Source organism: Homo sapiens, chromosome X (genome assembly GCF_000001405.40).
Source record: "Homo sapiens chromosome X, GRCh38.p14 Primary Assembly".
Taxonomy (NCBI): Eukaryota; Metazoa; Chordata; class Mammalia; order Primates; family Hominidae; genus Homo; species Homo sapiens.
This window is the reverse complement of record NC_000023.11, coordinates 107,002,423-107,020,868: the sequence shown is the minus strand read 5'-3', so window position 1 is coordinate 107,020,868 and position 18,446 is coordinate 107,002,423. Positions and strand designations below refer to the sequence as shown.

Here is an 18,446-nt window from a genome sequence, read left to right as displayed (position 1 = left end):
TAATCTACATACCCAGTATTATCTAATCAATTTTTTTTTTTGGACGTAGTCTCACTCTATCGCCCAGGCTGGAGTGCAGTGGCGCAATCTGGGCTCACTGCAATCTCCACCTCCTGAGTTCAAGTGATTCTCCTGCCTCAGCCTCCTGAGTAGCTGGGATTACAGGGGCATGCCACCATGCCCGGCTAATTTTTTTGTATTTTTAGTAGAGAAGGGGTTTCACCATGTTGGTCAGGCCACTCTCGAGCTCCTGACCTCAGGTGATCCACCCACCTTGGCCTCCCAAAGTGCTGGGATTACCGGTGTGAGCCACCATGCCCAGCTCAATGCTTAAAAAAAAAAAAAAGTAGTGTGCATATACAAAGATTTATTCAAATTATTACTGAGGGAATCAGCATGATGATAAGGCAGACTCAAAGGAGGATATGCGAGACTGAACTTAAGATAGTCAGTGGCCATTTGGTACAGCTGAAGGGTGCAGCTGAGACACCCTTTAGTAAGGAGATTAGCAAAACTAAAAGGGATCCAGGTGCTAATAGTCAAGAGTATGTAAAAAATGACCCCAAAATCTGGGCCACTCTGGCAGGAGCAGCCGTGGCTCAGATGGCCCCAATGACCCCAGATACTTGTGCTACCATTATGGAGGGCACAAGCCATAAGCCTTGGTGATGTCAACATGGAGTTAATTCTGCGGGTCCACAGAATGAAAGAGCTATGGAGATGTGACTGCCTCCACCAAGATTTTAGAGGATGTATTGGAAAACCTGGGTGCCCAGGCAGAAACCTGTCCCAGGAGTGGAGCTACCACCAAGAGTCCCCATTGGGTAAAGGCCCTGTGGAGCTGCAGGGGTGGGGCTTCTGTCTGGACTCTAGAATGGTAAAACAACTGGCAGCATACCACCTCAGCCTGGAAAAGTTGCTGGCATTAGATTCCAACCCTAAGAGAGTGGCCACATGGGCTGTGTCCAGCAAAGTCATGGGACGGGGGCAGCCTGAGGCCTTGGAAGTCTACCCCTCCCACCAGCATGCCCAGGATGTGGGACATGGAGTTAAAGGAGATTATTTGGAGCTTTAAGGTTTAATGTCTGCCTTGCTGGGTTTTGGAATTGTCTGGGGCCTGTTACCCCTTTCTTTTGGCCAATTTCTCCCTGTGGGAAATGAGCATGTTTACCCAATGCCCTTAAAACCATTGAATCTTGGAAGTAAATAATTTGTTTTTTATTTTGCAGGCTCATAGCTGGAAGGAACTTAACTTGAGTCTCAGATAAGACTTTGAACTTTTGAGTCTATGCTAAAACTAGTTAAGACTTTTGGGATTCTTGGATAAAGTGATTGTATGTTGCATGTGAGAAGAACTTGAGTTTTGTGGGGCCAGGGGAAGAATGCTATGTTTTGGATGTTTGTCCTCTCTAAACCTCATGTTGAAATTTGATCCCCAATGTGGCAATGTTGAGTGGTGGAGTGTATTAGTCCATTCTCACACTGCTCTAAAGAAATACACAACACTGGGTAATTTATAAAGAAAAGCTGTTTAATTGGCTCATGGTTCTACAGGCTGTACAGGAAGCATGATGGTTTCTGAGGAGGCCTCAGGAAACTTTCAATCATGGTGGAAGATAAAAGGGAAGCAGACGTGTCTTACACAGCCATAGCAGGCAGGAGAGACGGGGAAGTGCTACATGCTTTTAAATGACCAGATCTGGTGAGAAGTCACTCATTATTGTGAGAACAGCACCCAGGGGGATGGTGTTAAACCATTAGAAGGTGATCCAATCACTTTCCCCAGGCCCCACCTCCAATACTGAGAATTACAACTGAAAGTGAGATTTGAGGGGGACACAGATCCAAACCGTATCATGGGACCTGGTAGGAGGTGTTTAGGCCATGGGAGTGATGCCTCATGAATAGATTAATGCCTTAGGATGGGGGTAGTGACCAAGTTCTGGGTCTTTTCCTTCCCTCAAGAGCTGTTTGTTAAAAAGAGCCTGGCACCTGGGCATGATGGCAGGTGCCTGTAATCCCAGCTAATGGGGAGCCTGAGGTGAGATAATTGCTTGAACCTAGAAGGCAGAGGTTGCAGCAAGATCATGCCATTGCACTTCAGCCTGGATGACAGAGCAAGACTGTCTCAGAAAAAAAAAGAGACTGACACCTCCCCTCCATCTTGCTTCCTCTCTTGCCATATGATCTCTTTGCATAAACCAGCTTCCCCTTCTTTCCTTCATGAGTTGAAGCAGCCTGAGGCCCTCACCAGATGCAAATAAACCTCTTTGCTTTACAAACTACTTAGTCTCAGGTATTCTATTATAGTAACACTGAACAGGCTAAGAGAAAACCTAATCACCAAGGTGATGGAATTAGGCGGTGGGGCCTTTGGGAGGTGATTAGGTCATGAGGGTGGAGCTCTCATGAATTAGATTGGTACTCTTATAAAAGAGGCCTGTGGGAGGTTATTAGTCCCTTTGTCCTTCTACCATGTGAGGACACATAGAAGGTGCCATCTATGAGGAGCAGGTCGTTAGCAGACGCTCAATCTACTAGTGCCCTGATCTTAGACTTCCCAGCCTACAGAACTGTGAAAGATAAATTTCTGTTGTTTATAAATTACCCAGTCTAAAGTATTTTGTTAATGCAGCCTGAACAGGCTAAGATACACATGTATACAGAGACAAACACAGAGATATGTGCACTTCAATTGGGGACATACTCAGACCCATCACAATGCCTTCATAGAAACACACACAAATATACACAGATACTTGCACACACACACATATATACACACACATATACACATACATATCTATTTATATACACATACACACATATGCATACACATACACGGATGGGCCACTCTCAGGCCCAGTGAGGGCATGAGCCAGTCATATAAACTCACACAGACTATGTCAGTTTAATGTTATTTAGACAAGGATTCCAAATTGCCCACCAAGACATCATGGAGGTCAACTGGTCATTTTAAATTTTAAAGGACATCTGGTCCATATTGCTGGCTCCCATATAATCCTATCACCCCCAGCTAATTGAACTCTTTCACATACAAGAGAATAATCAGGCCTACTACCATTTTGGAAAGGTTACTCTGTCCCAGGTATTTTTCCAAGTATTTTACATATATCACCTCATTTTATTCTCACAGCAACTCAATGAGAGGGGCCATAAACACCACACTATGCTGCCTTTCTCCTTAACACAACACAGGTGACCTTCCCTCCTTTTTGTTTCATACTTTCTTTTTTTTTTTTTATGAGGTGGAGTCTCATTCTGTCCCCCAGGCTGGAGTGCAGTGGCGCCATATCAGCTCACTGCAACCTCCGCCTCCCAGGTTCAAGCGATTCTCCTGCCTCAGCCTCCTGAGTAGCTGGGATTACAGGCATGTGCCACCACGCCTGGCTAATTTTTGTATTTTTAGTAGAGATGGGGTTTCACCATATTGGCCAGGCTGGTCTCGCACTCCTGACCTCGTGATCCGCCCTGCCTCTGCCTCCCAAAGTGCTGGGATTACAGGCGTGAGCCACCGCATCCGGCCTCCAAAATATTTTCATATGCACTATTTCAAGTTGATTTTGAATCTGGAAATAACACTGTGAAGTAGGAAAGTTTGGCGTTGTAATTCCCATTTCATAGCTGAGAGTCACTTAGGTTAAGAAACTTTCTTAAGACTGTAACAACTAAGAAATATAAGCCAGATCTTAACCTTATTTTTGCATACTCCAGTTCCAGTACTTGTGTATATTTATTCCTTTGTTCATTTATTATACATTTATGTTCCTTAGCACTTTCCAGACACTGTACCAACTAATATAAAAACAAAAATAGAATAAGACATAGCCTTGACTTTGAAATAATTGGCATTGTAGAGGGGAAGAAAGACCAGTAGAGAGATATATCATAATATCATGTGCCGGATGCTGGGAGAGAGACTTGGGAAAACTGGGTAGAATAACTGGTTCTGCTGAGGGAGCCAGCATCAAATGGAGACCACGCACCACAGACTACAGAAAGGCCATGCTTTGTCCACGCTGCAGGAATATCTGCCTTTCTGTGTGCAATAGATGGTGGTGAGATGGTTTCTCAAAAACTGTGAAGTCAGTCATGTTCATCTACCTTTTCCTTAGGGAAGATGTGAAAGGTAGTAATCATTAATTGAAGTACAACTTCTAAGCCAATGCAATATCAGTTCATCAATTATTTAGGGACTGATAGGATTTTGTTACAGACAGCTAAATTATTATAAGCAAGAAACGACATAACCAAATGTGTCCTTTAAAACTTGTTATGTGGTTTCCTAGTTATTTTAGAAAGTAAGTTTCAGGTAAGAAAATTCTGGCCCAAACAAGGTGAAATGTTACAATTCATATGGGGTCTTATGCTCATTTTTTTTTTTTACTTTTAATTTTTAGATGCCTTATACATTTCTCTCTCTCTCTCTCTCTCTCTCTCTCTCTCTCTCTCTCTCTCTCTCTCTCTCTCTCTATTATGGAAATTTTCAGCATACCCAAGGGTGGAGAGAATAGTAGAATCCATATCCATCACCTAGTTTCAAAAATTACAACATTTTACTAATCTTTGTCTCACCTACTTCTTCATAGAGCCACACCTTTTTTTCTTGAGTATTTTAAAGCAACTATGGTCTTATTTTGGAGAAAGGTTTGAAGTGGTGTAAAGTTAGAATGACAAAGTATATGTCCTTCTAAACTTCACGAGTCTTTAGCCCTAAATAAATTGCCAGTGTGATTTTCAAAAACACCATTTCTGTTTTAGTGTAATTTTTCTTATGGCAACACACAGCTCTGCTAGACAAGGTGTCTTCTGGCCCTTCTCCCTTTAAAAGAGTTCTGCCAGAACAAACAAAGTGGAAAAGGTTTTTGACTTCAGGTAAGAACAAAGCACAACATAGAAATAGATACATAGGAGTTTTGGCTAAATATAATGGATACCATTTTTGTCACTGTTCTGGAAGTTTGGTATATTGGGGTTTTAGGATAACATGACTGTCCTCCCTGTCACTGGAGCTATGATTTCACTTGTTTCCTTGTTCTATATTTTCAGGAGAGCCACCTCTTAGTTGGTGGGCTTAAGATATCCTGGAATTCACTATGATGATCACAAGGTGAAAATTGGTGAGTACCTTTTTGGAGTACAACTGTTAGGCAACGTTATCACCAGCATTAGAAATGGGAGATGGTTTCCAATTCAGATAGTTTTATTCCCAAAGATAAAAGCTTCAATGTTTCTTTTACCAAAGAAATAACTTAAGTGTGAATAAAAGGGGAATAATAAAGTAAATCAGAGTGCATCTATATAAAGTGGAATGTAATAAAAGCATGGTTTATAAAAACTTGCTTATATTATTACATTGCATGATAAAAGCGATATATTAAATTATATGTCTAGGATGAGCTCAACTATGTAAAAAGTGCATGGAAACAAAACTGGAAGGTAATATGTCAAAAGCATAAGAGTGGTTGCTTCTGAGTGGTAGGGTTATGAGTGATTCTTCTTCTGTTTGTTTTTATACTTTTCTATATTTTTACAATTTTCTACAGTGAGCTTGTAATTACTTGTATAATCAGAAAAACATTTTTTTCTAAATAAAAGGTACAAGCAAGTCTTATAATCCCAGTGCCTAGAAGATCAGCAATCTGTTTTGAATGTTTCCAAGGCAGTGAACCAGGCAAGAGTAAGAAGGATGATTTCAGAGTCCCTAGAGGAGACTTGTGTAGTTAGTTCCTAGGAAACCAGAAGTTTTAGCCACTCAAAACACATGTAAGTGTTTTTGGTGTGAATCAAAACCTTCCATTAGACATAATTGCAACAGCAGCTGTTACACAACCTGTATAAACTATTTTTGGTGTGAACCAAAATTTTAACAACGTAGAAACTCTGTTAACTATTTCACAGTCACATGGGTGTAAAACTCATTGACCACTGGCCAGGTGTAGCACCCTTGATACAGGGAGAATTCCTGATGCTGTGGTGGAGCTGGTAGAGAAGGCTTAGCCAAGAATCAAGACAGTTCTCCTGAAAGCTTCTTTTTCTTTTTTGTTTTATTATTATTATTATTTCGAGATTGAGTTTTGCTCTTGTTGCCCAGGCTGGAGTGCAATGGCGTGATCTCGGCTCACTGTAACCTCCACCTCCCAGGTTCAAGCGATTCTCTTGCCTCAGCCTCCCAAGTAGCTGGGATTACAGGCATGCACCACCATGCCCAGCTAATTTTGTATTTTTAGTAGAGACGGGGTTTCTCCATGTTGGTCAGGCTGGTCTCGAACTCCTGACCTCAGGTGATTCAACCGCCTCGGCCTCCAAAAGTTCTGGGATTACAGGTGTGAGCCACCGCACCTGGCCTTTATTTGATTCTTGTAAAAGAAAAAAAAGACAGTTTCAAATGGCTTTTAAAATTTACTAGATTAAAAAAAAGTTATAGTAATTCATGCCCATTGTAATAAAAATAACAAAAGGATAAAAATACATAATCTTTTAATTTCTTCTGGTTCCACCCACCTAAGGAAAGCAATATTAATCTGATGTGTATTCTTACACACTTTCCTCTGTAGTATGTACAAATACACATGCACATACACAAATAGAGAGTTCCTTCTCCCCTTTTTTAAATTACAAAAATGGAGTGATATTTTGTGGTCGAATTTATCTGATCATATAATTGTCTTGAGTGGTTGTTAAAATATAGATTCCTGGCTGGGCCAAGTGGCTCATGCCTCTAATCCCAGCACCTTGGGAGGCCGAGGCAGGTGGATCACCTGAGGTCAGCAGTTCGTGACCAGTCTGGCCAACATGGTGAAATGCCATCTCTACTAAAAATACAAAAACTAGCCGGGCGTGGTGGCAGGCACCTGTAATCCCAGCTACTTGGGAGGCTAAGGCAGGAGAATCACTTGAACCCAGAGGCGGAGGTTGCAGTGAGCCGAGATTGCGCCATTGCACTCCAGCCTGGGCGACAGGAGAGAAACTCTATCTCAAAAACAAAACAAAACAAAACAACAAAAAAACAAAATATAGATTCCTGGGCCCCACCCTATGCTTATTGAATCTGAGTTTTCAAAGAAGAAATTGAGTGAGTCCTATAACCAGAAGAGTTTGATAAGTGCTGCTAAATATATTATTCTACAACTTTCTTTTAACAGTATACTATGGTTCTTTTCAGGTTAATGCCTATACATCAAAGTCATTATCCTTTTTTTTTTTGTATCTTTTGTAGAGATGGGGGTCTCACCATGTTACCTAAGCTGGTCTTGAACTTCTGAGCCCAAGTATTCCACCAGCCTCGGCCTCCCAAAGTGCTGGGATTACGGGCATGTGCCACCATGTTCGGCCAAAGTCATAATCTTTTGGTAGATATAGGGAAAGGTTAACAGATTCAGTTACAAAAAAATGAATTGTTTTGCAAACGAAACTATAAACAAAGAGTCAAAAGACTAATAGAAAATATCTCTACTACATCTAATAACATTCCTAATATACAAAGAGATTTTACAAATTGAGAAGTAAAAGAAAAACTGGCACTATTGCAGTAGGAAGCACTCTGAGATGGTGTTAATGAACATAATGATTCATTAAGAAGAAACCTTTGGTTCAACACCTACTGAAGAGAGAGGAAGGAAGCAGGAGTGGATGGAAGGAGAATTCAATCTGTGATGCAAGCTCAAAGGACAGTCTCAGCTAGAGTGGCCTTTAGAGTTATCTGTCATCATCTTCTTTCAAGGTCATCATCAGTGGGGCTGTAATGTGGCTGTCATTCATTTTTGGCTTACAGCCATGCACCATGGAAATCCATCCATGAACCAAATGCAGGCTTTTCCTCCTTTGTCAGCTGGTCATGAGGGATGCCCCCATATATCATAAGCATGAGCTTAGGAAGAGATACTGGTGAAATTGTGATGGATGACATGGGGGACTCAGCCACCTGCTCATTTGGCTGCTTGCGTCCTTTGGTCCTGCTTGTGCTGAATTTACCACTTCCTTATAGTAGCTTATTGCTAGGCCCACTTCACTTTCAGATTTGGTGCGTTTGATGAAACCCAGCTCATGATGAGTAGTTGTGGCCACATGTTTACATAATGTCATATCATCACTTTGCCACATTTATACTATGACCCAAAAACATATCAGAGAATTTTTTTCAAAGGCATGTACTTCTCTGAAGAGGGCATGACCTTGCAGACTGCATTGTGATTATCCCATGCAGTTTGCAATAAACTCCACATAGCATCTTCCCCTACCACTACTACCTTTAATACCATAGGGTATTCTGGTCATATGGCCCAAGAAGCATGGCTACTTACACTGTAGCATAAATCTGCTGCAGAGCACTTCTTTGATTCCCACTCAAAACTGTCAGTCAGTATATGCTGTCTGACATCATTCAGTGTATGGGTCAGAGCAGTATTAACAAGTAAGGAATATACTGCTCCCAGAACTCAACGAGGCCTTCCAGATGTTGCACTTTCCTTCCTTGTTGTGAGAGGTGCAAGGTGCAATAATTTGTTTTTTTTTTTTTTATCATGGATGGGATTGCTCTGCGTGCCCCTAAACAACGGCGACCTAAAAAAATATGTTTATATGCCAGGCCCCTCAATCTTCATAGGGTTTATCTCCCATGTTGTGAGTGAGTGTGCATTGCCAAGGCCACCAATGTGCAAGCTACTTCTTGCTCATCTGGTCTAATTAGCATGATTTCTGTGATATAGTGAATCCAGGTGATGTTCTGTGGGATATTGAGATATTCAGATCTCTTCTGTATTATGGCAGAGGACCAGAGTTAACATAGCCATGTAGCAAAATGACTAATATATATTCTTGTCTGTCCCATAAGAATGTGAACTTTTTCTGACCCTCTTTTTCAAATAGTATGAAAAACAACAGTCGCTGAATTAATGGCTACATACCTTATACCAGAGGCTATGCCAATCTGCTCTAGAAAATATTCCACATTTAGCACAGTGGTAGAAATTAGGACCACTATTTGTTGAGTTTACAGTACTCTGTCATTTTCCAAGTTTTTTTTTTCTGGAGGTCAGATTAGTAAATTAAGAGTAGCTATAATAAGATCTAACACCCCTGCATACTTAGCTCTTTAAGAATGATACTAATTTCCACACCTACCTGACAAATACAATATTATTTTTGCCAATATTTCATTATGGAAAATTTTCAAACTTACAAAGTGTTGAAATAACTATATACCAAACATTTATATAGACACCAACTAGATGCTAAAATTTACAGTATTTGCTTTATTATGAATTTATCTATTCTTCTATCCATCCAACAGCTCATCTAATTTTCTTTTATTATTATTATTATTATTATTATTATTATTATTATTATTATTATACTTTAAGTTCCAGGGTACACGTGCACAATGTGCAGGTTTGTTACATATGTATACATGTGCCATGTTGGTGTGCTGCACCCATTAACTCGTCATTTACATTAGGTATATCTCCTAATGCTATCCCTCCCCTCTCCCTCCACCCCATGACAGGCCCCAGTGTGTGATGTTCCCCTTCTTGTGTCCAAGTGTTCTCACTGTTCAATTCCCACCTATGAGTGAGAACATGCGGTGTTTGGTTTTCTGTCCTTGCGATAGTTTGCTGAGAATGATGGTTTCCAGCTTCATCCATGTCCCTACAAAGGACATGAACTCATCCTTTTTTATGGCTGCATAGTATTCATGGTGTATATGTGCCACATTTTCTTAATCCAGTCTATCATTGATGGACATTCGGGTTGGTTCCAAGTCTTTGCTATTGTGAATAGGGCCACAATAAACATACGTGTGCATGTGTCTTTATAGCAGCGTGATTTATAATCCTTTGGGTATATACCCAGTAATGGGATGGCTGGGTCAAATGGTATTTCTAGTTCTAGATCCCTGAGGAATCGCCACACTGTCTTCCACAATGGTTGAACTAGTTTACAGTCCCACCAACAGTGTAAAAGTGTTCTTATTTCTCCACATCCTCTCCAGCACCTGTTGTTTCCTGAATTTTTAATGATCGCCATTCTAACTGGTGTGAGATGGTATCTCATTGTGGTTTTGATTTGCTCATCTAATTTTCTGATGCATTTCAGAGTAAGTTGCAGACATGAGGACATTTCCCTTGAAACACTTTAGTCTTCATATCACTGGAGATCAATGTTTGTTTACATTTCTTTTCTTAGGTAAAAATATTCACACAATGAAATGCATAAATTTTAAGTATACCATTTGATGACTTTGGCAAATTCATACAATCTATGTATCATACCATTTAAATGTCCCCTACCCCCACCAAAACACACGTGCACTTGCACTTGGGATAAGCCCTACCTGGATGAGCTAACAAGCTACTCATCTAGTCCTTTGTGCATAGGTGAGACAAGTGCCTTCTTCCCTCTGAACACTGCGCACCCAGAGAACATATCTCCTTGACTCACTGCAGAAGGCTGGCACCTGTGGCCAGCTGGCACCAAGAGGAAGGACTCCCAGGGACAGCAGCTTGTAGTGAGCTAACAGAATGCCTGCCTGGTCTGCAGCTCCCTTCTGTCTATCATAGGTCTCCCCTGCCTGTCCCGTCATCCCTCATGGTAGCTGGGGCTTCCCTTTTCTTCCCCGTGAGATGCTCTGACATCTTTCTCAGGTAAGAACCAGGAAGCAGGCCGCCCAGATTTGTCAAGAGGGGAAGACGGAAACCATTGAGCCCACATGCTCTGTGCCAAGCCAAGGCCCGTGTCCTATGGCAGGTCCACTCGAGCCCCTGAGGAGACTCCAGGAAGAGAAAGACAGGGAGAGTTCCTTTTAAACAAACAAAACTCAAGCAGGCGAGCGGCTTTCTTTAGGATGGCCTTATGCTTGGCATTGAGCTGGACAGTGGTGTGGAGTCCCAGGGGTTCATCTTGGCCTCTGTGATAGTTTCCTTCCAAGTGGGAAAAGGGAAGCGGCGCACACAGACCTGGTTGGGGCGCAAGGGTGCTGAGAGGGAAGTGAAGGAGACTCTAGCACTTTGCTCTCCCTCAGACTGGCAGGTACACAGGGTGAGCTCTGACCTCTCCCCCAGGCTTGCTTCTGTTTTCAGGACACAACTTTGCCCACTTGGCTCTCATGCAGCCATCACTCTGGCTGGGGAGGGAAGTCCTTTATCAGGCCACACTTTCAGACTTTAGTCCTGAGACCCTGGCTCTGCTCTGCCCTCCCGGGCTTCACCCACAGAGCTCTCTTAAGGCCCCGGTGTCTCCTATCCATGCCCTCAGCCAGCCCTGCCATGTCCCACTCCTCTCCTTCCTCAGCGAGGGCTCCTCAGCTGAATCATGCCCAAGCCCCGTCCCTTGTCCCCTTCACTATAAAAAAGCCTGACTAATTGAGCTCCCTGGATCTGTTTCGATCTCTAATTTGTCTGCCAGCTGGGGAATAGGCCTCCCCACTTGTGCCCCTTATTTTCTTCATTTTCTGAAATCCCTGAGTCTTCACAACTGGAACTGATATCAGCTGTAAAACATGCCATGTCAGTGGCTGTCATGAAAGTGGTTTAAATCTCTGTTCGAAATGCTTGTTTGTATTACAGTCCAAGTGTTCTGTGTTGTGTGCCAAGGCTTTTACCAGTGGCAACAAGCTATTGGAGAAATAAGTACCAAGTACAAATCAAGTAGGACCAGCCACAGGTCCCGTTTAAAATGAATGGACAGAACAGACAAATCCAAACAGAAGAGTGGAAAGGGAGTTTCTCCTAATTAGGAAGCATGGCTTTCTAGATCCTCTCATCAGCAAGTCTTTGTCTTACTTTTTATCTCCTGTGTAGTAAAGAAGTAGCCAGAGAATGGGAAGGTTTTAAAAGCATTTTTTAAGAGACAGAGTCTCGCTCTGTTGCTCAGGCTGGAGTGCAGTGGTGATCACGGCTCACTGCAGCCTCGACCTCCTGGGCTGAAGCAGTCCTCCCACCTCAACCTCTGGAGTAGCTGGGACTACAGGTGCATGCCACCACACTCGGGTATTTTTCTTTTCTTTTCTTTTCTTTTCTTTTTTTTTTTGAGATGGAGTCTCGCTCTGTTGCCCAGGCTGGAGTGCAGTGGCACAATCTCGGCTCACTACAAGCTCCGCCTCCTGGGTTCATGCCATTCTCCTGCCTCAGCCTCCTGAGTAGCTGGGACCACAGGTGCCCGCCACCATGCCTGGCTAATTTGTTTTTCGTATTTTTAGTAGAGATGGGGTTTCACCATGTTAGCCAGGATGGTCTCGATCTCCTGACCTTGTGATCCGCCCATCTCGGCCTCTCAAAGTGCTGGGATTACAGGCAAGAGCCACAGCATCTGGCCTAAAAAGCAAACTAAGTTAAACTCATTTGCAAAGTCTAGGCCAGTGGTTCTCAAACTTGAGCCTTTATCAGAATCACCTATAGTAGGTCTGGGGTGGGGCCTGAGAATTTGTGTTTCTAACATCTTCCCAGGTGGGAAGATGGTGGGAAGCTGTTGGTCTAGGGCCCATACTTTGAGAACCAGTGCTTTAGGGGCTGTGCAGAATAGGCATAAAGGTCAGGGGTCTCTGGTCTTGCGAGGCCTAGTGCAGAGGTGGGGACTGTACCATGTGACCTGGAGGAGGGTCTAGTTCTGGGAGGCGGGGCTATGGGTGGAGCTCCACAACCTGTTCCTGAGGCTCCTACAGTTGTCAAAGAGCACCGGCTACCCCAAGGCCTCCTGACAAAAGCTCGACTTCTTCTGGAGTTCTCCAGCTTCTGCTGTCATGCCTCCCTCTTCTTGGGTGGGGAGAGGGTGGTGGAGGGAACCCTGGGGCACATGGCCCAAGATGAGCCCCAAGCCCTAGAGCAGTGGAGGTTCTCAAACCCCAGTGAGCATCACAATCACCCAGGATAACATGCAGATTACTGGGCCCATCCCCAGAGTTTGTGATCACAGGTCTAGGGTGATGGTGGCTGAGAATGTACATTTTCAACAAGTTCCTAGGTGATGCTGGCTGATGCTTCTTGGCAAAGGAAATAAAAAGGTGTCTATGTTCTCATGTTCTTATGACTAGGGCCGAGAGGCCTTGGACACTGACAGTTGCAGTCCAGGGAGCAGTTTGAGCATAGACTGGGAATTTATCTGGTGCCAGACTAAGAAATCAGAGTGACTTGATTTTTCTTGAGTGAAGGATTAGCAAGAAAGGTACCAAATTACATACAACATTTATTCTTCTAAAATGTTTTTGAAACTAATCATTGGATGATGTTGTTTAGGTTCAGCCATTTCAACAAAGGGAGGAGGGAAGAGAACTCACATTTATTGAGCTCTACTAAGGTTTGTGCTAGGCACTTCACCTACATTATCTCATTTGCTTCTTGAAATGATCATCAGAAGAGGAGGAAATAGGCTCAGAGAGCTTAAGTGACCTGCCTAATTTCACACAGCTTATGAGAGCTGGACTTGGATTCCAGCCCAGGTCTGGCTCCAAACTCTTTCCATTATACCCTGTTCATGAATGCATAAAAGACACATCCTTATTGAAAGAGCAGAGAAAAGGAGAGGAGAGTGTGATGGAAACACAATGTTCACTGTGGAGAATAAGTAACGAGGAAGGAGGCTGTAGGGAAGCATTGGGCTAGATTGTAGAGGGTCACCTCACGAATTTGCAAGTCACCTCACGAATTTGGACTGTGTCATAATCAATGAGAAGCCACTGCAAACATGTAAGATGGGGTGGGATGCAAAACTGGGGATAGCTTATTAGGAAGGGGGTGGTAGTGGAGCAGAGGGGATGGCTAGTGGATTCATAGAGCCCTGGAACTGGAAGGGATCCTAGAGTTCACCCTTGTCACTTAACTTACAGGTGACAAACTGGGACCCAGAGAGGGGATGCAACTTGCTGAACTGAATGCCTGGCACTGCCCACCTCCACCCCTCCCCTTTAGCACTGAAGCATCATTTCCCAGCTGTAGGGTGCACTGGTGGCCAACAGTGCACAGTTGTGCCCGTCTCTGGGAATGGCCCTTGACTGAAGAGAGCCGCCATGTTGAAGGTCGTGTATCCTTCCCAGGTGATGGCTTGCATCCCATGACTGCTTGATGGAGGAGCATAAATGCCTAGCCCCTTGCCACAATTCTGGAGAACTCTGAGCTTTTCCTGGGATCCCCTGAGGCCTTTGTTGTGGTTGCATCCCGGTCCCACTTCCTCCTCTGCCCAGTTCCGCTTTCTGCATTCCTCACAGGTGTTGATCCTGACAGTGCTCCCCAATAAAGCTCCTACCCATGAAGCTCTCAGAGCCTGCTTCCCTGGGAACGTGGCCTGTGACACTTCCCCAAGGTCACAGGCCATTCCAGTGGAGGAGTCTGGACGGGAATCCATGCCTTGTGACTCAATTTTTCTACCACACCTGTCTGATCTCCCACTCTGATAAGTCTTAGGCTCTTTCTCCATCACACCCATCCAGGAACTTGGGACAAGTGACCTTAGACAATGGGTCAAAAGGTGTTAGGAGAAACACCCTCCACCCCTGCCCCCCCACCCCCCCACACACACATGCTGGAACAGTCTGCATGGTAACGATTACATGCATGTGTCAAACAATTGGAGCTACTTGTTACAGGGTTAACCGACCAGGAGGAAATTCCAAGTGCCTCTGCAGCTACTCCAGGGCTCCTCCACAAGTGATGGGAATGTAGCTAAGGGAACTCAGTCTGGCCTAGGAGAAGGGACAGCTTGAAATAAAAACAGTAATACAGACAGCTCAGTGCTTCAGACCCAAGGCCCTGGATCAGGGGGAGTGGAGGTTGGCCTAGAGGTCCAAAGCTCTGCCCCAAGGCAGAAGCATGCTAAGGATTCTCAGAGGGCTCCGCCACACCCTGCTGAAGCATTTCCCTGCTCCTCATTTTGCAGAAAACTCAGGTTTTCACCATGGGCCCCCATGCTGAACCAACTGCCAGGTTCTGTTCATTGGATCCTCCCTCACAGATGTGCCAGCTGCTGCTAAAGCCCTGTTTGGTAGTGAAGCATGAGGAACTTTGCATTATGGCCTTCTTAGGGCCCTGTGGAGCCACAGCAATGGGATTTGTATGGATTTGTTTGCTGCTTCTGTTTATTGCTGGGCAGTGGCAGCAGGGCCTTGGGAAGGCCAAACCCTGGACTTTCAGCAGCTGCCTTGGCCCCTCAGAATTGCCTCTGTTGTGGGGAGCTGGAGAGGAGCCGAGAGGGGGGCTCTGACCTCACTTGCCAATCAGGAGGGTACAAAGCTTTTGTTTAAACACCAAATCGCACAAGTATAATAGTAAACACGCCGATACACCATGCCCGACAGCAAGCAAGACAGGCCATGCAAGCACATCTTTTCGAAGGCAGTAAATGGGCATTTCTAGAGGTGAAGAGTCTTGAGTCAAACAAGAGTGAGGGCTGAGCAAAGCTTTCATGTTGTGCTGTGCTTAGGGAGGAAGAAATGGCAGTGGGCCACTCTGCAAGGAAGACTATGAATGCTTGATCCAGACGTAAGGGTTCTGGTTTAAACTTCTCCAGAATAGACACCTACTATCCCTGCCTATCTGTTTTTCCCCTAGGGAGGCCATGTTCTATTTACCATTTCCGTAACTGTACTTCAGTCTTTTCTGGCTGCTCCTTCAATCTTGCCACTCATTATGATCATGCCCCTACCTGACTTTAGATAGTGAACTCAGCCATATGGTCTCTATCATTTCAGAGCCCTGCTATGATGAGCGTAGTTGTAAGGGTCTCTCCACCATCAAGCCTAACCTACAGAGGAGAGCCACCAGTGAATTTCTCAGTGGTGCTGGTGCCCCTCTTGTTAGCACATTCCTTATCACCTTGATAAATGGTGTATCCTGGGTTTTTCTGTTTGAGTTTTCCAGGCTTGTTTGATCTATCCACTACAGTAGGCTCACTTCTGAATCTTTTAATCCTTTCTTCTACTATTGTCACAGCAATGCTGGCATTTCAACCTCACTTAGCATGGGTCATCACTTTTTCTGTACTTCAAGGAGTCATCTAATTGTGAGACTATTCTACCTCATGTGGTCCTTGCCAGAGTGTTAAATCCTATATTCCAGAGTAGTGCTCCAAAATTGATAAACTGCCTGTTATCCCACCTTATAGACTAGCTCTCTTGATCAAGCAGTCTCAGAATTCAATTCCATGTGAACCCTTCCAGTTCCTGCCAATCCACGCTGGGTATCTTGCAGCTTTTTGACGTATAATCGCTCTTCTCCCTGATCAGGCCTCACATGTCCATGCTGTGCCTTAGCCCTTGTTATAGGCCTAATGGCAAGGAGGGGAGGGGAAAGCACATGTTGTCTTGTTGGGGAGAAGCTTTGCATGTCTGCAAGCAAGAGGATGGGGCGGGCGTGGGTACTACCAATAGGGAAATTGCACCAGTTCTATGGGCTCAGCTGGTTCAGGGAAATCTAAGGATTCAAGATTTTGGTAGCATCAATCTAGATAGCCCCAAACCATGTGTCAGGGTCTCATTCTTTCCCGGGCAGCATCCCGATTTTGACATAGCAAATGTGTGTCTATTTCTCCATTGGGAATTTACTCCTTTTTAGACCTCAATAACCACTAAATTCCATTGGTTCTTTTTGTTGTTGTTTTGTTTTGTTTCAGAGTCAGGGGCTCGCTCTGTTGCCCAGGCTGGAGTACAGTGGCATGATCATAACTCACTGCAGCCTTGAACTCCTGGGCTCAAGTGATCCTCCTACCTTGGCCTTCCATTGGTTTTATAGCTACTACTTCCTCCATATTTCTCAAACACTTGAAACATCACAGAAGATTATACGTTCCCTTTTACCATCCCAATTCACACCTGGTGGAAGTTTTAACAATAATAGGACTGCTGCCTTGTGGCAGGGGGCTATCTGTGCTCCATCCACTCTGTGGTATGGTCCTCATTGCCAACTGGGCAGTAAGTGATTTAGCTCCCAAATATCATCCAAATGCTCTGGTTTCTCTTCGGATCGTATAAATCTTTTGCCTTTTACCAAATATCATCATAGTCCCGACTTTCTTGGATCACTCCCAATTTCAAGTGTTACAGTTTGAGTTCCCCAGGAGGCAGATTCCAAGGAAGAGCTTTGTGTGCAGGGTGCTTATTAAGAGGTATTCTTAGATTAGGATCTGTGCAATGAAGTAGGTGTGGGCAGAGGGGAACACTGAGCTACAATGCAGGCTCAATAGCAGAGAGCCAACCCCACAGAGAGAATTGGAGTTAGAATGACCCTTCCCAATTGTCCCAAATTGGGTTGAGACAGTCAGGTCTTTATACCCCCTCTTTGGTCAGTTACTGTAGGCTGTCCCAGAAAAGTCTGTGACCTTGGGTAAGGCAGAGATTACCTGAAGCAATCCCTGAAGGGCTAACAGCTGAAGGCAGTCTGTCAACATTTCTCCCAGCAGCTCAGCCAACAAGTCTTTTATTGAAATGAGAGGTGGGCTGACGCATCACAGTATCCATCACAGGCATCATCTCTTTACATTAAAAATTGCCAATTAAAAGTAAAGAGTTAAGCATTTATCATGTCCTTCCTATATAAATTGTATTTCAGATTAGCCAAATAGCCATGGTTGATGAAGGTAAGTTCTATACAGAATGATCCAGTTAATAAATTAGAAGAAATTATGAGATTGACTATCATAATTTTGCAGTCCTAATAACATATTTTTTTCAGACAATGAAACCATGAAGTAAAAGGATGGTGGAGAAATTTATAGTGGAAGCTTCAGGCTGCCTCTCCCTGAAGTCACCAATGAATCTGAACATGTCTAAGTGTTGCACAGTATGTATTCCCTGATGTGATGCAATGGGAACTATACAGCACCATCTATGAGCATTCCTATTTAGAAAACATTGTACTAGACTCTAAGACTCTAGAGACAATTTATGGTTTATAGTTAAGTTACACTTTTTCCTGTAACAAGAGGAGCAAGTTAAGTAACATGAAGAAGCAAACAGACAAATGAAAATGTAGGGCATTCAACAGTCCAACTGTCTTGGTTTCTTCAACAACTCAAGGGGTTGGGCATGATGGCTCACACGTGTAATCCCAGCACTTTGGGAGGCCGAGGTGGGAGGATCACTTGAGCCCAGGAGTCCAAGAGCAGCCTGGGCAACATGGGGAGAACCCATCTCTACAAAAAAAAAAAAAAAAAAAATCAATAACATGAATAAAAAAAAAAGAGAGGGGAGACTTTTAGATTGAAATGGATTTAAGACACATAACCACGTGCAATGTGTGCACTTGGAGTCTAGATTTAAACAAACCAACTGTAAGCAGACATTTCCGAGACAATTGGGGGAAATCTGAATATGGACTGGGCCAAGCAAAGTGGCTTGCGCCTGTAATCCCAGCACTTTGGGAGGCCAAATCAGGTAGATTGCATGAGCCCAGGAGCTTGAGACCAGCCTGGGCAACGTGGCAAAACCTCGTCTCTAGAAAATA

The 18,446-nt window shown here is 43.9% G+C and overlaps 1 annotated feature.

Moving 5' to 3' along the window:
- Window positions 1,868–2,369: an enhancer, noted in NCBI's record as "NANOG hESC enhancer chrX:106261730-106262231 (GRCh37/hg19 assembly coordinates)". NCBI's record gives its function as "activates a minimal SCP1, AML or CMV promoter by ChIP-STARR-seq in primed H9 embryonic stem cells {active_cell/tissue: H9 hESC(primed)}" and the evidence as "EXISTENCE:reporter gene assay evidence [ECO:0000049][PMID:30033119]".